The sequence below is a fragment of the Homo sapiens genome, chromosome 9 (genome assembly GCF_000001405.40).
Source record: "Homo sapiens chromosome 9, GRCh38.p14 Primary Assembly".
Lineage (NCBI taxonomy): Eukaryota > Metazoa > Chordata > Mammalia > Primates > Hominidae > Homo > Homo sapiens.
Genome location: NC_000009.12, coordinates 81,802,380 through 81,822,220, shown reverse-complemented (window position 1 = coordinate 81,822,220; position 19,841 = coordinate 81,802,380). Strand labels below are relative to the sequence as shown.

General features: G+C 42.7%; 1 annotated feature.

Annotated features, from left to right (window-relative positions):
* Positions 1,633-2,222: an enhancer, noted in NCBI's record as "NANOG hESC enhancer chr9:84434914-84435503 (GRCh37/hg19 assembly coordinates)". NCBI's record gives its function as "activates a minimal SCP1, AML or CMV promoter by ChIP-STARR-seq in naive H9 embryonic stem cells {active_cell/tissue: H9 hESC(naive)}" and the evidence as "EXISTENCE:reporter gene assay evidence [ECO:0000049][PMID:30033119]".

The window sequence follows — 19,841 nt, the reverse complement described above, 5'->3', positions numbered from 1 at the left end:
ATCTCTTTATATATATATATATATTTTTTTTTTTTTTTTTTTTTTTTTTTTTTTTTGAGACGGAGTCTCCCTCTGTCGCCCAGGCTGGAGTGCAGTGGCGCGATCTCGGCTCATTGCAAGCTCCGCCTCCCGGGTTCACGCCATTCTCCTGCCTCAGCCTCCCAAGTAGCTGGGACTACAGGCGCCCGCCACTACGCCCGGCTAATTTTTGTATTTTTAGTAGAGACGGGGTTTCACCGTTTTTTTAGCCGGGATGGTCTCGATCTCCTGACCTCGTGATCCGCCCGCCTCGGCCTCCCAAAGTGCTGGGATTACAGGCGTGTGCCACCGCGCCCGGCCATCTCTTTATATTTTAACATGAATAAAATAATGTGGGCAGGCTCAAACCTAACCATGCTCCAAACCTGCAATGACCTTATTTTTTTTCCACTGTGATGAAAACGATGTGGTTTCAACCACAGGCCTCTTATTGCTGTTCCTGTGTCAGCCTTGAAATATGTAAGAAGCATACAATTAAACTAGGTCTGTGAGTCCTCCGTGATACAGACAGCAGAGAGGCTAGGCTGAAGTGGTGTGTCCCCTGGATTTCAAACCAGCATGCATGCATACAGGGGTGTCTTAAATGATCACTCGAGGTTGGGCACAGTGGCTCACGCCTATAATCCCAACACTTTGGGAGGGTAAGTCAGGTGGATCACCTGAGGTCAGGAGTTTGAGACCAGCCTGGCCAACATGGCAAAACCCTGTCTCTACTAAAAACACAAACATTAGCTGGGCATGGTGGTGCGTGCCTGTAATCCCAGCTACTAGGGGGGCCGAGGCAGGAGGATCGCTCAAACCTGGGAGGCGGAGGTTGCAGTGAGCCAAGATTGTGCCACTATACTCCAGCCAGGGCAACAGAGCAAGACTCTGTCTTAGAAAAAAAAAAATCACTCAATTACAAAAAGCCGTTCTTGAAATATTTTTACCCCCTATATATATTCCTATCTCTACATTGCAAAAGCAGAACTTATTTAATATCTTCCTCCCCACCAGAAAAAAATGCACCATGTCCCTCTAGTCTAAATATAAAATGCATAATATATAAAGTTGATCTTCTACTTTTCCAAGGCAGAAATTTCAATGCAATGGCTTACCCTTCTGCCAAAACAGTGCTGGGAGTCTATGAGAAACTGGGAGAGGAAATAGGCTTTAGAAAGCAGCCAGATTATTAGTGCCATGGGGGAAATATCACTCTAGCAGTAATCTAAAATAAAACATCTTTTCGTTGCTCTATTTAATACCTACTGTACATCAGAATTACCTATGAAAACATGTTTCATAACAGAGAAACAGCCGTCTCTCCCCATCTCTGTCACTGCACTCTCCATTACCATGGCAGTTCTGCGATTTCTCACTACATCAGCAGAGTAATGAAGTGCCCTCATACTGCACATCTGGGGGCAGAGAGAATTTTACGACTCAGGTTTAGGCCAGATTACTATGACTATGGTAGAATCTTTTTCCATATCCTCAGGGTCCAGGGTACGTGCAAATTCCCTCAGATACAGCTGGATGCCTTCTAATTGCTTTCTTAAGTAAAAAAAATTTACGTATATATCCTTCTCCACCCACATCCATTCATTAGTATTTATCTAGATTTTGCCACCACTGTCCATGAGTCCAAAATTTTGAAACTCCACCCCCGCCTCCAGAAAAAATGTCTACTCCAATTTTGTGATCTGCTCATTAGGGAATGGAATGCTAGTATAAATAGTGTTGTTCGTTCCTCTTTGGAAATGTCTTTTGCCTTACTTTTTTTTCTCCTGATAAACTATGTCATAACAGAAAAATCCCTATGAAGTTCTCCAAAGAACTTTGTGCTGTTTCCAGACCCTGGGACTATAATTATGCCATGTGTAATTAAAACAGAAAGAGCATCCCCTGCCAACTGTGAATGCCCCTGTTTACATCACAAAGAGATAGCAAAATGTACTCAGGAAGGTTCCAGCCAAAGTAATTGAGAGGGCTGCCTGAACCCGCTCTGCTTTCTAAATACTGTCCCTGGGTTAAGAACAGCGAGAGGCAGAAGAAATGAGAGGAGTGGAGGGGACCCGGGCCAGAGGCCTGTTGACTTTCTCTGCCTGGGCATGATGTCATTGAGTTCAGTGACTTGGGGGGCTGGTGTGGACTGGTCTTGTTGCACGTTTAATCCAGTTGCTTCTGCTAGGGAGCTTCATTCCACTGCGTGGTGGCCTTCAGAGGTCCTGAAGTCCTGCACTCAGATGCAAAAGTTCAGAGCATTAGGCCAGGGGGTAAACACATTCTTGACCTCGAGCAGTACAAAGAAGATTCTTCTGCCTGCAGCTCAGTAGGGTCACAGGTTGTCTTTCTCTGCTGCTTTCCTCCTAGGCTGCTGCAACTGGAACATTAAAAAGAGAGACAGAGACAAAGAGACAGGGACAGAGAGGAAAGAAAGGGCAGTGAGGAAAAGAAAGAAAGAAAGAAAAAGAAAAAAACAAAGCCACAAGTTGAAAAAAAATTCCCTATAAAATAAAAGTGCATTATGTTTTTGTATATTTTCAAAATGTAGCCAAACTAAACCATTAAATGAGGATTTTGTTTCACAAAGTCTGCAAACTATTCAACCACTAACCCACTATACCAAGAATGTGGTGCCAACCAAAATATGTCAAGATTAGTAGTACTCAATAAAATCTCAAAACCAAATGACATGCAAGCTGTATTTCGTGATTAGAGCGCTTCCTTATGTCAAGGAACATACATATTAACTTGTTTAAACACAGCACTGGGCTGTCACTCTGTTTGTCATAAGCAGAGGAAAGAGAATCTCGTGCTTACCAAACCCATCCAGATGATACTTCACACTTTCTATCTTCCTGGCAGACAGCATGGACACCATCCAATTAATCCTTACAGCTTCTCAGAGAAGAAGAGTTGAAGGCGAGAGAGACCACTTCCCACTTTGCAAAGCTGTACCCGACAAGCAGGGTTTGCAAATGGCTCACATGCAACAACAGAGCCGGGCTGAGAATCGAAAATGCTCATTTTTTTTTCTAGTAAGGCAGCAAGTCACCAAAATTGCAAAATGCAAACACCTTGTGTCTTTCTAGTAAGGTGAATCCTTTTTATTTTTAATCCCCAGAACTAACATTTGCATAGCGCTTCAATGACTGCAAAGGGCTCTTGGTGAATCCTCACCACTATCCTGGTCATTTATACATGATTATCCCCATTTTGTAAAAGAGAAGCCCAAGTGGTAGAAGAAGTGACCTGCTCAAGGAGCCTTATCAGAAACGAGTCAAACCAGAGCAGGATGCCTCTGTCTCAGGCCTCTGAACCAAATGGGAACTACACAAAACAACGCTGCTCCTCCCAACGCGTTGTCTCTTTTTGCACCAAAATGCCTGAGTTTGAGCAGGAATCTAAAAATGGAGAAGGGTAATTATCTCATTCTCTGACTGTCAACAGCCATGAGCTGCTGTGTGCTTCTACCTGGCAGGAGAAAGAAAGGGAGGCTGTTCTCTCATTTACACAACACAGTAGTAAGAGATGTGATTCTGTTACGAACACTTGAAGGGGCTTCTGGGCGAAAAGAAAACACCAGAGCTGGCTTCATCCGTTCTCTGGTGCTTCTTCACTTGCATGAGCTGCAGTACCTTCCGACTGGAAAGCCGTTCACTGACTTCACACAGCGACAGGGACTTCACAGGCAAACGATCAGCTGTCGCTGCCTCCATTGCCCCATCCACCTGCCCCCTACAACCACACACGTCCTTGTTCTCATGGACACTCTTGCTACTGGGGAATCCTTGCCTCCCCTAAACTGCTATGCAGACCCTGGGGTGTGGTGGAAGAGAACTCGAATTCAAATCCATATCTCATCAGACAGAGTACAGGGTGGCTTCTTGTAGTCTGCCCCTCACACTGCAGCCTGGGCGGCCAGCAGAGCCTATATAAGGTGGTGGTGTCCATTCCCCAATATCCTTCTCATCCTGATGAGAGGCCAGGCCTTTCAAGATGCAGAATGCCTGGTGTTCTGGCTTCATCCCAGAACACACATCCACACGACCTGACCCTAGCCCTCCTTCACAGATGGTTCTGTTATGGGCTGAAGTGTATCCCACAAAAACATATGCTGAAATCCTCAACCCCCAGTACCTCAGAATGTATTTGGAGAAAGTCCCTTTAAAGAGGCCACTGAGGCAAAATGAGATCACATAGGTGGGCCTAATTCAAACCGACTGCTGTCCTTATAAGAAGAGATTAGGACACCAGGGATGTGAGGGAAGACCACGTGGGGACACAGCGAGAAGGTGGCCATCTAGAAGCCCAGGCCCTGAGGCCTCAGAGAACCAATCCTGCCAACACCTTGCTCTCTGACTTCTAGCTTCCAGAACTGTGAGGAAATACATTTCTATTTTCTTTTCTTTTTTTTTTTTTTTGGAGAGATCGAATCTTGCTCTGGCACCAGGCTGGAGTGCAGTGGCACGATCTTGGCTCACTGTGACCCCCCCGCCTCCCAGTTTCAAGCAATTCTCCTGCCTCAGCCTCCTGAGTAGCTGGGATTACAGACGCGTGCCACCATGCCAAGCCAATTTCTTTTTTTGTATTTCAGTAGAGACTGGGTTTTACCGTGTTGCCCAGGCTGGTCTCGAACTCCTGAGCTCAGGCAATCCACCCACCTCGGCCTCCCAGAGTGCTAGGGTTACAGGCGTGAGCCGCTGCACCCAGCCTCTTTTTTTTCTTTTTTAATTTTTTTTTTTTTGAGACAGAGTCTCTGTTGCCCAGGCTGAAGTGCAGTGGCACAATCTCGGCTCACTGCAACCTCCACCTCCTGGATTCAAGCAATTCTCTTGCCTCGGCCTCCCGAGTAGCTGGGAATACAGGCGTGCGCCACCACTCTGACTAAATTTTTTGTATTTTTAGTAGAGAGGGAGTTTCACTATGTTGGTCAGGCTGGTCTCGAACTCCTGACCTCAAGTCATCCACCCACCTCGGCCTCCCAAAGTGCTGGAATTACAGGCGTGAGCCACCACTCCCGGCCTTACGTTTCTGTTTTCTAAGCAATCCCATCTGTGGTCTTTTGTTACAGGCAACCAAAGAAAAATAATACAACTTCTCATTCCCCTCATTTCATGCATACTGATTACTCTGCCCACGTGCACATCCCTGGACTATTGGCCTGGCAAACACTTCTTGATCTCCAATATTCAACTCCAATGCCTGGTCTCCTCCATGAGGCCTTCGCAGCTAACCATGGGCATCAAACATATCACGTGTGATTACATGACACCATGACATCTCCTGCACTTAGCTGATGGCCTATGCCTTCACAGACTGTGAGTTCCAGGGAACAGGGACATCTCTGACTCAGTCCTGAGGCTTAGCCTAATGCTCATCAGAGAGAAGATGATTAATATTTGATGAGGGAAGAATGGAAGGAAACAACAACAACAATAATAATAATAAGACTTACTCCATCTTTGTTATGTGCCAGACGCTGTTCTAACTGTGAGAATTAGTATATTTGTATTATTATTATCTTCTCAATCACCGTATGAAGTAGATAATATTGTTATCCTCATTTTACTGCTGAGGGCGGACATACTAAGATAAGAAACTTGCCCAAGGTCATGTAGAACCAGGGATTTAAAACCAGGCCTTTGGCTTCAAGAGTCTACATTCTTTTTTTTTTTTTTTTTTTTGAGATGAAATCTTGCTCTGTTGCCCAGGTTGGAGTGCAATGGTGCGATCTCGGCTCACTGCAGCCTCCTCCTCCCAGGTTCAAGCGATTCTCCTGCCTCAGCCTCCTGAGTAGCTGGGACTACAGTCGCGCGCTGCCACACCTGGCTAATTTTTGTATTTTTAGTAGAGATGGGGTTTCACCATGTTGGCCAGGATGGTCTTGATCTCCTGACCTCGTGATCCGCCTGCCTTGGCCTCCCAAAGTGCTGGGATTATAGGCGTGAGCCACTGCGCCTGGCCAGAGTCTACATTCTTAATAATATGTGTTTGGAGGGGAAAGGAAAGAAGAAAAGCAAGAAGACAAGAAGGGAACAAAAGAAGGGAAGAAATCACCAACTGTATAAACTCAAGATACTTAAATTCTTTGAAACTCAGTCTCTTCATCTGCTTATCTTAAGAGAGGCTCAAGTGAGATAATGTACCTGAAGGCATTTTAATTGCAGAGTACTGCAGCCTCTATTTTCAGTGGCCAGAAATCAGTCAAGTAATCACAGGCCTGTGACTTGAAGGCTGAATTAGCAGTGGGTGGTGGGCACATTTTGCATAGTGGGTAATCCTGAGGAGATAAATTTCAAAAAAGTGAAGAATGGGGTAGACAAGGATAAGAGTTGCAAAAAAGGCCCAGCGCAGTGGCTCAAGCCTGTAATCCCAGCACCCTGGGAGGCCGAGGTGGGCGGATCACAAGGTCAAGAGATCGAGATCATCCTGGCCAACATGGTGAAACCCTGTCTCTAGTAAAAATACAAATATTAGCTGGGCGTGGTGGTGCGTGCCTGTAGTCCCAGCTACTCAGGAGGCTGAGGCAGGAGAATCGCTTGAACCTGGGAGGCAGAGGTTGCAGTGAGCCGAGATCGTGCCACTGCACTCCAGCCTGGTGACAGAGCAAGACTCTGTCTCAAAAAAAACAAAAAGTTACAAAAAAATGCTCTTTTGCCTCCCACTAAGGAATGGAAGTAGTGCCACCTTTTTTCAGTAATCCAATGGCACCACTCCTGTTACAATACATGTGAATTCTGCCTCTGGGATTGTGCATTCCAACTGCCCTGACCAGGAGAAGCTTTGAGGATGCCCTACATGTGTGTTGCCGTTGGTTTAGAAACCACAGACTGATTACAGCATTTAGAGAATGCTATCAATCAATGTCATATTCAAATTTCATTTTACTAATGCAGCTTATTGGACCTAATAGTTAGAGCTGGAGTCCCAGTGTTACCTGTGGGTAGGATTTCCTGTTCTGTTTTCAGCCTGGACTTTCCTGTTGTTCTTTGGTTTTGGTTTGTTTAATAAAGCACCACTTTGTTCTTTTGGTTCTTTGGTTTCCTGTTATTCTTTGCTTTTGGTGTTTTCAATGAAACACCACTATATCTCTTTGTTCTTCGATTCAGAAATGCATTGAGCATGAAACAATGACTTAATGGGGCTTGGTAAAGAGACATGTCTCATTGTTTCACACCTGCAAAGACTCCTCTTCCTTGAAGGTTTTCAGATGACCTACTTACTTAGGCTGGGAGCAGAATGGTTAAAGCACTCGGAGGAAATCAACTGCAAATAGAAAGGCTATGTTTAACATAATCCTCTCCAGAAGCCTCTCTCTTCTCCAGGCACTGTAATCAACCCTGTAGTGTCAGGCAAGGTTCTTGATTATCTCCCTGTAGCATTATGTCTCACCACATAGCTGATAATAAACTGATGGATTATCAAACAAGATTACAGCTTTAGCAAATAAAATCATGTTTTGTGTTAAGAGAGAAAATGCTTACTATCCCTATCTGCCTGGCTAAATATTTACATATCACAGACTTTCTAGGGTCCCTGTTCTTTCAAATCTGATTTTAAAAAAACAACACAGAGGTTAAGTTAACAAAGAGGGAACACACTGTGCTTTTAACACTAAGCTAAATGCTCTTCTGGGAGAAAACAGGTACTGCCTAAAAGGGAGAACTAAGTCAATTCAAGGCCTCAGGTACCAGGGAGATCAATGGGTGCATGTGACAAATGACAGAGCTGGCTGTGCTTGGAGGGATTCAAATGCCTACTTTTAAAGGGAACATAGGTGAAAGATAAAAAGAAACCCAAAGAGCATGCATGCAGCTGTGGCTGTGTGTGTGTGTGTGTGTGTGTGTGACTGTATGTGCACAAGAAGAGGAGAAAGGGGCTTGTATGAAGTCTCATGCTGATCTGATGTTTTATGCCTTTCGAAAACTCTTTCTTCTTTATCACCTACACCCACCTCCCCAATTTTCCCCATCCTCTCCATTTGACAGCTGACACAAAGTGAAGCCTAGAAGAGACTTGCAAAAGGTTCCAGAAGGCAGGCGTCAAACCTCAGTCTTCTGACTCCTAGTGCATCCCATTTTCTGTGTCACTTCTCTGCTCAAACTCAAGGATGCAGAGGGAAAGAATAGCAGAGAGGTGTTTTTTCAGAAGTTGCATGTATTCAAATTGTCAGGATCTGTAGTTAAATTAGTATTTGGTTTAAGACTGGGCAGCAGCCAGGCGCATGGGCTCATGCCTGTAATCCCAACACTTTGGGAGGCCAAGGCAGACGGATCACATGAGACCAGGAGCTCTAGAGCAGCCTGGCCAACATGGTGAAACCCATCTCTACTAAAAATACAAAAATTAGCTGGGCATGGTGGTACACGCCTGTAATCCCAACTACTCGGGAGGCTGAAGCAGGAGAATTGTTTGAACCTGGGAGGCAGAGGCTGCAGCAAGCCAAGATGGTGCCACTGCACTCCAGCCTGTGTGACAGAGGGACAATCTGTCTCAAAAAAAAAAAAAAAAAAAAAAAAAAAAAAGAGACTATGGGCAGAAAAGGATGTAACTGAAAATATCAAATGGGCATGTAAAATACCTGTCTTTTAAAAGAGAGAGAGAAATAGGTTTGTACACTGGTCAGTTTAAATTTGTTTCTATCCCAGGGAAGAATACAAACCACGAATAGCCACCAACATGGCTAGTTGCAGAGAAAGTTATTTCAAATAATTTGACTTTCTTCTGTGAAAAATAGATCTTGTAAACAGAAGGGCAAAGATTCCAAATGTGATCCCTTACATGTGAAATTCACAGAAGCTCTTGGTCCCAGTGACTTTTTCCTCTGCCACACACAAAATAGCACTGGCCTAGCCACCATCACCAAGGAATCTCTGTTCAGTACACTAGGGAGATGCACAAAAGTACCGGAGGAAGATGCTCTATGCCTCTTCCTAGGCTTTGTCACGGGGCATGTGATCTTTCAGGCAAATCAACCAAAGTAATGCTGGAATGAGAACATGCCCACTCTCAGCCACTGAGCCTGAGGATAGTGTTTAATGCACAAATTGAGCACCCAATAAATATTATTGAGTGAAAAAAATAGCATAACACATAATAAAAATACAGTGTTTCTCTTTTGTAATGGAACATCATCTACAAAATATATCCAATATAAACTGGTGGATTCATGACTTTTCCCCTTTATAATTAGAAATATGAAAGGAGATAGAGGCTTTTCAAAATACAACAAAGAATGCATTTCAAATTATTCACAAGTTTATATTAACATCAGCGATGAAAGTACATCTTCCCTCCGCAACAATCCTTTTTTCCCTACTCCACAGGATAATCGATTTACAGTGTGGCATGTAATATGTAGTTTAGTTTTGGTTAACATATAACATAGATCAGGTCAAACTTTAGACCAGGCACGGTGGCTCACTTCTGTAATCCCAGCACTTTGGGAGGCTGAGGCAGGTGGATCACCTGATGTCAGGAGTTCGAGACCAGCCTGAACAACATAGTGAAACCTGTCTCCACCAAAAATACAAAAATTAGCTGGGCATAGTGGCAGGCACCTGTAACCCCAGCTAGTTGGGAGGCTGAGGCAAGAGAATCGCTTGAACTCAGGAAGCGGAGGTTGCAGTGAGCCAAGACTGTGCCATCACACTCCAGCCTAGACAACAAGAGTGAAACTCTGTCTAAAAACAACAACAACAACAACAAAACCTTTACACAGGTTTTGCCACTTTATTTTTTCCTCTAATATTATGTGTATAGATGCTCCATAAATTATTATGAATTCTTCTAACCTCAGGACACGGAGGTTATTTCCAATTTGGGGCTATCATGGGCAACAATGCCATAAATATTCGTGTGTGTATTACTTTGTTGAAAGTAATCCTGAGTTGAAAGAAATATCCAGCTTTAATTTTAATAGGTACTGCTATTAAGACTGTTTATAGGCTGGGCGCAGTGGCTCACGCCTGTAATCCCAGCACTTTGGGAGGCCAAGGCAGGCAGATCACAAGGTCAGGAGTTTGAGACCAGCCTGGCCAACATGGTGAAACACCATCTCTACTAAAAAAAATACAAAAAAATTAGTTGGGCGTGGTAGTGGGAGCCTGTAATCCCAGCATTTTGGGAGGCTGAGGTGGGCAGATGACTTGAGGTCCAGAGTTCGAGACCAGCCTGGCCAACATAACAAAACCCTATCTCTACTAGAAATACAAAAATTAGCCAGGTGTGGTAGTGCACACCTGTAATCCCAGCTACTTGGGAATCTGAGGCAAGAGGATCGCTTGAATCCAGGAGGCAGAGATTGCAGTGAGCTGAGATTGCATCATTGCACTCCAGCCTGGGTGACAGCGTGAGATCCTGTCTCAGAAAAAAAAAAACAAAAAAAAACAAAAAACTTTTGTTTCTCTTCAGATCAATAACTCTTTCAATTTTACCAAGTTAATAAAGTTTTATTCTCTATGTTAGAAGTTATTTTATTATGATTACTTTAAATCACAAATGGGTGTTGATATATATCAACTGCTTTTAGCACTATCAGGATGAACAAATGATTTTTCTCTAACTTTTTTTTTTTTTTGAGATGGAGTCTCTCTCTGTCGCCCAGGCTGGAGTGCAGTGACACGATCTTGGTTCACTGCAACCTCTGCCTCCCGGGTTCAAGTGATTCTCCTGCCTCAGCCTCCTGAGTAGCTGGGATTGTAGGCGCCGCCACCACGCCTGGCTAATTTTTGTATTTTTAGTAGAGATGGTGTTTCACCATGTTGGCCAAGCTGGTCTGCAACTCCTGACCTCGTGATCCACCTGCCTCGGCCTCCCAAAGTGTTGGGATTATAGGCGTAAGCCACCGTGCCCTGCCCTCTAACTTTTTAATATAGTAAAATATATGAACAGATTTCCTAGTGTCCAATCATCATTACATTCCTGGATTTAATACTAGTTGGCAATAATGAATTCAATTTGATAATATTTTCCTTGCAGTTCTGTATTTATACTTATAAGGTAGATTGGCTTATAGTGGTCATTTTGTGTGTGTGTGAAGTCATTGTCACTTCTGGTATCAACAAAGTGATACCAGAAACAGAAAAAACAAAACAAAACAATGAACTTTATCTATGAAACCCAAAGCTACTTTTCTGAAGTGGTGTATGAAGTAGGCAAAACCTTTGGTGAGACTGATCAAGAAAAAGTTGGACTGAATGATAATTGATAGAATGATAGTTGAGTTGGGGTGATTTCCATCTATTTTTTTTTTTTTTTTTGAGACAGAGATTTTGCTCTTGTTGCCCAAGCTGGAGTGCAATGGCACAATCTCGGCTCACTGCAACCTCTGCCTCCTGGGTTCAAGTGATTCTCCTGCCGCAGCCTCCCAAGTAGCTGGGATTACAGGCATGCACCACCATGCCCGGCTAATTTTTTTGTATCTTTAGTAGAAACGGGATTTCACCGTGTTAGCCATGGCTGGTCTCTAACTCCTGACCTCAGGTGATCCGCCCACCTTGGCCTCCCAAAGTGCTGGGATTACAGGTGAGAGCTACCGCACCCAGCTCCATCTATTTATTTACAGCAGGGATTAACTAGTTCTTCAAAGTTTGAATGTTTTTAAAGCCCATGTAACTGTCCAGGCCTTGTATCTTTTGAGAGTAGTTTTTATTATTATTACTATTACTGTGTAAATTTCTTCTATGCTTATTTTTCTCTTTAGATTTTCTACTACCTCTTGAAATAATATTTGTAATCTATGTATTCCTAGAAAAATTACCCTTTTCAAATAAATTTTGAATTTGTTATTTTAAGGTAAAAGACCCTGTACTTGAATAATTTTTTTTAACTTCCTCCGAATCTGTAGTTAACTCCTCTCCTTTATTTCCAAAGTGTATTTGCATATTTTTGGTTTTTTGTTTTGGTTTGGTTTTTGAGACAGGGTCTCACTCTGTCATCCAGACCGGAGTGCAGTGGCACAAACATAGTTCACTGCAGCCTCAGCTTCCTGGGTTCAAGTGATCTTCCCACCTTAGCCTCCAGAGTAGCTGGGACCACAGGTACATGCCACCATGCCTGGCTAAATCTTTTTTTTTTTTTGTACAGACAGGGTTTCACCATGTTGCCCAGACTGCTCTTGAACTCCTGGGCTCACACCATCCACCCGGTTTGGCCTCCCAGGTGCTGGGATTATATGCATGACCCACCAGCCCAACTTCCTCTTGATCAGTCTCACCAAAAGTTTTGCCTACTTCATACACCACTTTGGAAAAGTAGCTTTGGGTTTCATAGATAAAGTTCATTGTTTTGTTTTTTCTGTTTCTCTATCCTTAATTCAGTTTATTATCTCCCTTCTTGTGCTTTCTTTGGGCTTATTTTACTGCTTCTTCTCTTATTAGTGTTTTTTTTAAACCTTTGTTAGATTCTAATAAATGAACTGAGGTTGTAAAATTTACTTGAAGTGCTGCTTTAGCCATAGTAAGTCTTGATTGGTAGAGCTTCCAATTTTTATTTATATATTAATGGTGAATGGTTTTATTTTGGTTTTATTTTGTTGTTGTTTTTTTTTTTTTTTTTTGGAGACAGAGTCTCGCTCTGTTGCCTTGCTGGAGTGCTGTGGCGCGATCTCAGCTACTGCAATCTCCGGCTCCCTGGTTCAAGCTATTCTCCTGCCTCAGCTTCCCGAGTAGCTGGGATTACAGGTGCCTGCCACCATACCTGGCTAATTTTTGTATTTTTAGTAGAGACCGGGTTTCACCATGTTGGCCAGGATGGTCTCGATCTCCTGACCTCGTGATCCGCCCGCCTTGGCTTCCCAAAGTGCTGGGATTACAGGCGTGAGCCACTGCGCCTGGCCAGTTTCTTTCCTCTTTAACCTAAAAATTCTTTAGAATAGTATGGTGTTTTTTTTTTTTTTTTTTTTGGTTTTTGGTTTTTGTTTTTGAGGCAGAGTCTTGCTCTGACACCCAGGCTGGAGTGCAGTGGCACGATCTTGGCTCACTGCAACCTCCACCTCCCAGGTTCAAGCGATTCTCCTGCCACAGCCTCCCAAGTAGCCGGGACAATAGGAGCATGCCAGCACGCCCGGCTAATTTTTTGTATTTTTAGTAGAGATGGGGTTTCGCCATGTTGGCCAGGCTGGTCTTGAACTCCTGACCTCAGGTGATCCGCCTCCCTTGGCCTCCCAAAGTGCTGGGATTACAGGCATGAACAACTACCCGGCCCAATAAATAGTATGTACTTTTTTCAAAATTGATTAATTAGGCCTGGAGAATTCTTCTTTTGTTGTTACTATTTAATTTTACTGTATTTTGTTCAGAGATATGGACTATGATTTCTGCTATTTGGGTTTTATGGAGATTTTCCTAGTGAACTAACACATGATCAAATTTTGTAAATGTGCCATAGATTGAAAATAATGGGCCAGGCGCGGTGGCTCAAGCCTGTAATCCCAGTACTTTGGGAGGCCGAGGCAGATGGATCACGAGGTCAGGAGATGGAGACCATCCTGGATAACACGTTGAAGCCCCGTCTCTACTAAAAGTACAAAAATAATTAGCCGGGAGTGGTGGAGGGCGCCTGTAGTCCCAGCTACTCGGGAGGCTGAGGCAGAAGTATGGCGTGAACCCCGGAGGCGGGGCTTGCAGTGAGCCAAGATCGCGCTACTGCGCTCCAGCCACGACTACAGAGCAAGACTCCGTCTCAAAAAAAATAATAATAATGTGAATTTGAAGGTCATAAATACATAAAATATATATTTCATGTTTTATATCAGGACTATTAAATGTGTTTTAAAATTCTGACTCCTGGCCGGGCGCGGTGGCTCATGCCTGTAATCCCAGCACTTTGGGAGGCCAAGGTGGGCGGATCACGAGGTCAGAAGATCGAGACCATCCTGACTAACTAACATGGTGAAACCCCGTCTCTACCAAAAATACAAAAAATTAGCCAGGCGTGGTGGCGGGCGCCTGTAGTCCCAGCTACTCGGGAAGCTGAGGCAGGAGAATGGCGTGAACCCGGAAGAGAGAACGTGCAGTGAGCCAAGATTGCGCCACTGCACTCCAGCCTGGGGGACAGGGCAAGACTTTGCCTCAAAAAAAAAACAAAAAAATTCCGACTCCTAGATTTATTAGTTTTTGAGAAAGTTGTATTAAGTTTTCCCACTATAGGCCAGGCGCGGTGGCTCACGCCCATAATTCCAGCACTTTGGGAGGCCAAGGTGGGTGGATCACCTGAGGTCAGGAGTTCAAGACCAGCCTGACCAACATGGAGAAACCCCATCTCTACTAAAAATAGAAAATTAGCCGGACGTGGTGGCATATGCCTGTAATCCCAGCTACTCAGGAGGCTGAGGCAGGAGAATTGCTTGAACCCAGTAGGCGGAGGTTGCAGTGAGCCAAGATCGCACCATTGCACTCAGGCCTGGGCAAGAAGAGTGAAACTCTGTCCTAAAAAAAAAAGTTTTCCCTCTATAACTGTGAGTTTACAAACTTCTCTTTGCATTTGCATAATTTTTGTGGGTTTTTTTTTGTTTTTTGGGGGGGTTTGTATTTCATAACTTTGTCCTGCATACAATTTCATGACTATTGCTGTTCTTGTCAAACCTTTTGTATTATTTTGCTTTGGAGTGTCACATATTTTCATGGTATAAATTTGGATTTTTTTTCTTTATCCCGTCTGAAAGTCTGATTTTTAAAGGAAGAATATAAACCATTGACATTTAATGCAAGTACTTATATGTTCTACTTATTTCTTACCATTTATTTATTTATTTTTGAGACAGAGTTTCGCTCTTGTTGCCCAGGCTGGAGTGCAATGGCACGATCTCGGCTCACCGCAACCTCTGCCTCCCAAGTTCAAGCGATTCTCCTGCCTCAGCCTCCTGAGTAGCTAGGATTACAGGGGAGTGCCACCACCCCTGGCTAATGTTGTATTTTTAGTAGAGATGGGGTTTCTCCATGTTGGTCAGGCTTGTCTTGAACTCCTGACCTCAGGTGATTCGCCCACCTTGGCCTCCCAAAGTGCTGGGATTACAGGTGTGAGCCACTGCGGCCAGCCTTTCACCATTTACTTATATGTTTTTATTTGTCATCATTTTGCATTCTATCTCTTTTTATTCTCTGTCTTTTGTTTGATTAATCTAGTTGTTCTGTATTTTCTTCTTTTCTAAATGTTTTTTTAAAAACTGTTTCCTTTTCTATTCTTCTTAAGAATTGCCTTTACATTTTAATACTCACATTTAAATATCTACATCTTATCAATGTCTAGAAATAATCAGGGCCTCCATTGTCATCTTGATTAAGGCATGAATTTTAAAGATTTTAATTTTGACCCCACTTCTGTTTCCTATTCTCTAATCTCTGTACTCCCACATCTTCTACTTACAGGTTGAAATTCTAGTTCCATATTAACAATTGTTTCTATATTATGCATCAATAGTTCTTTAGACTCAGCTACATTTTTAATGTTTTTCGACCCACATCTTTCCCATTGTTCTATTCATAAAATACCTGTGTCTGGGCGCGGTGGTTCATGCCTATAATCTTAGCACTTTGGGAGGCCGAAGCAGGCAGATCACCTGAGTTCAGGAGCTCGAGACCAGCCTGGCCAACATGGTAAAACCCCGTCTCTACTAAAATACAAAAATTAGGCGGACATTGTGGCACACGCCTATAATCCCAGCTTACTTGGGAGGCTGACACACGAGAATCGCTTGAACCCGGGAGGCAGAGTTTGCAGTGAGCCGAGATCGGGTCTCTGCACTCCAGCCTGAATGACAGAGCAAGAGTCAGTCTCGAAAAAAAAAAAAAAAAACTAAACAAACAAAAAACATGTATTCATACATACATGTGTACAAATACAAATTTTATAAGTGTATAAAACTTATAAAATTTATTTTTCTTGTTTTCCAGCAAAGTGTTTTGAAGATTACTTTTGAAGAATGTCTGTGGTCATATCCCAAAGTATATTTTGTCCTCCCACTGGAACACAAGTTTGGTTGGGTATAGAATTTGAAGTACAAAATTAGTTGCTCTAAGGAATGTATAATTGTTAGTATTCTAGCTTTTTGCACCTAGTCACTAGTTTCAAAAACAGTGAAAAGAAAATGTGCGCAATTTTTCTGCTTGCAAAACATATTGAGGTTGGTGCAAAAGTAATCGTGGTTTTTGCCATTGAAAGTAGTGGCAAAAACCACGAGTAGTTTTGCACCAACCTAATATTATTGAGGCTGGCGTTTAATGCATATGAGAATTGCCTTTTTTCCCCCTTCTTCTTCTTCTTTTTTTTTTTTTTTTTCTGAGACAGAGTCTTGGTCTGTCACCCAGGCTGGAGTGCAGTGGTGCGATCTCGGCTCACAGCAACCTCCACCTCCCGGGTTCAAGCAATTCTCCTGCCTCAGCCTCCGAAGTAGCTCAGATTACAGGTGCCTGCCACCACTTCCGGCTAATTTTTGTATTTTTAGTAGAGACAGGGTTTTACTATGTTGGCCAGGATGGTCTCATACTCCTGACCTCGTGATACGCCCACCTCAACCTCCCAAAGTGCTGGGATTACAGGCATGAGCCACTGCTGCCAGCCTTTTCCCCATTCTTCTAATTTTACCTGGGGCAAAGAAAGAAAGAAACTGAAACTGAAAATGGAATTCAATCTTATAAATGTAAAATGAGTTATAAGTACCACCTGTTAAAAGTGAAGAGATTAACAGTAGGAAGGCAACTACAGGAGCTTCATGTGCCTGTTAATCATGTTCTTAAAGCCTGGGAACTATGTTCACTCTAGAAGAGGTCTAATTTGGTGCAGTGGCTCATGCCTGTAATCCCAGCACTTTGGGAGGCTGAGTTGGGCAGATCACCTGAGGTCAGGAGTTCGAGATCAGCCTGGCCAACATGGTGAGACCCCGTCTCTTCTAAAAATACAAAAATTAGCCTGGCGTGGTGGCGGGTGCCTGTTGTCCCAGCTACTTGGGAGGCTGAGGCAGGAGAATTGTTTGAATCTGGGAGGTGGAGGTTGCAGTGAGCCGAGATCATGCCATTGCACTCCAGCCTGGGCAACTCCATCTCAAAAAAAAAAAAAATGGTTCTCTACAATAGTAGTGTTGTTCAAATAATTAGCTATTGATAATAGGTAGTGCTAGTAACAAAGGAACCAGATCATAACAATGCATTTGTATTTCTTTAAATTTTGCTCTTAAGTACCCTGCTGTTTATACAATAATTTGGCAGTAGAAATTGTCATATTTTATCATCTTAACAGAGAACATTTTTCTAAAGAAATATTGTATCTATCTACATAGAATTTAACCAAAATCTATGTCCTCAATTACTCTAGTCAATGGACAAATTACTCACTGAAGTCACAAAACACAATCCCAAAAAAATTCTTAACCACATAAGTTTCATGAGCTATAGTGAAGAAAATCTCTGAAAGACTAGTTTTCCACACTGAAATATATAAAATGATGGAGAACACTCTTTTTCTCCCTCACTCTTCTCACCACCACCTCCTTCCTCTCCAATTTTCTTGTCATTCAAAAGGTAAAGAACTAACTTCACAGACTCTTATTCAAACCAAGGAGAATAATTCTTTGTTCATGTTTCAGATCTTCTACTGAAAGCTTGTGCTTTTGAGATCATCCACACCATTCCTCACAAGCCCGGCCTCTTAAATGACTAACAGCATCCAAAATAGAACGCACAAATCATAGCAGCTGAAAGGTTACAGAGAAGCAAGTTTGCATGACAAAATTTTATTATACAAATTAATCAAGGAATGTTCATGTAAGTAGTTATCTTTGGCTGTGGAAGGAGGGGTGGGAAAGACAGCGAAGCTGAAGGGACTCTACAGCCATTTTCTGTACACTTGTATACTTGCGTGCTATTTAAAATTTTACAGCCAGGCGCAGTGGCTCACGCCTGTAATCCCAACACTTTGGGAGTCTGAGGTGGGTGGATCACAAGGTCAGGAGTTCAAAACCAGCCTGGTCAATATGGTGAAACCCCGTCTCTACTAAAAATACAAAAATTAGCCGAGTGTGGTAGCGGGCGCCTGTAATCCCAGCTACTCAGGAGGCTGAGGCAGAATTGCTTGAACCCAGGAGGCTGAGGTTGCAGTGAGCGGAGATTGCACCATTGCACTCCAGCCTGGGTGACAGAGTGAGACTCTGACTTAAAAAAAAACAAAAACAAAAACAAAAACCTTTTACAATGAGAATATAATCATACATTAATTGTGTAATATTTAAGAATTAGGCAAAAATCGTAAACAAAATAGAATGTTAACAATGAAAGGACTATCAGAGATGACCTAGTCCCAAATCTCCCAATTTTAATACTGTAGACTAAATGTGTAGGTCCCCCCAAAATTCATATGTTGAAATCAGATCCCCAATGTGATGGTATTTGAGGGTGAGGCCTTTGGGAGGTGATTAGGGTCATGAGGATGGATGGTGGGATTAGTGACATTATAAAAGGGACCCCCCAGAGAGCCCCCTGGCCCCTTCTGCCATGTGGTAACAGTGAGAAGGCACTATCTATGAGCCAGAAAACAGACATCAACAGACAACAAATCTATCAATGCTTTGATCTAGGACTTCCCAGCCTCCAGAACTATGAGAGGTAAATTTCTGCCACCCAGTTTATAGTATTTTGTTACAGCATCCTGAACCACCTAAGACATGTATAAATGGTGAAACTGAGACTAAGAGGATCTAACTGATTTACCCCAGGTCATAAAGTAACCCAATTCTGAACTCCCAAACTCCATTTAAAGGCAGAGTGGGGGACTGCACAGAGCTTCTCTGATAACAGCCAATCCACCCTGGAGAAAACAAGAGATGCCAGGGTCTGAGAGATGAGTTAATCCAGAAGCTATACAGAAATGCTTTTGTTTAAATACTGGAGGAAGTAAGGAAATATGCCAAAAACAGAGGATATGGGTTGTGGAAGAGGCAAGTATTCAAGTCATAGATTCAATCCAAGGATTTAGGATCTAGGATATGGGAACCAATCAAGACATTCGCTTCAAACTGAACCAACTGGTTGCCTCCAGCACTGCGAGAGATTAGGTCTTTCCTTTGGGAGTTTATTTAGTGGATCCATTTGTTGCAAACAGCCAGTGGGATGGGGTGGCAGCTGATGGCAGAGAGCTGGCTAAAATACAAATACTATATGTCAAAATTTTATTTTAAAGATCTTTGTGCCACTCTATCATGTGTCAAACATCAGTAGAGCAAATTTCTTAGGCCCTCTGAGTGACACAAGAGCAGATATAAAAAGTTACAGATCCATGGGTAAGAGGAGCTAAAATCCTTCAACTAGAATGAGAAGCAATCACTAAGGGCTATATCTTTTAGATTCCTTAACCTAGTAATATTATTTTCATGTGATTGGGACTGAGTCTCGGGAAATCTTTTGGGCCACTATTTGGCAGAATCTAAAAAGACTGTGAGTTTCAGTGGACACAAAAGAGATGAATAACTTAAGGATCTGGACACAAATGGTTTTGGTAACCATAATAACTTCTGCTAGTCATGTATCTGCACCATACTCTTCTCAGAAAGAAAAACAAAATGGTGTCTTACAGGACAATAGAATAATATTATAGAATTCTAAATACCAAAGTACATTGAGATTCAAGTTAACTTTCACATTTATTAAAAGTCTAAATAAAATTCTTGATAATCTCTAAAATGTATAAATCTGCTGCAGACATGTGCACATAAATTATAATAAAGAACGTTGGTATGCAATTTGATTCAAAGTGCTTTTTAGTAAAGTACATAATGATGCACGCTGAGGAGATGCAGGTATATTTAATTGGATATAATTAAAATAATG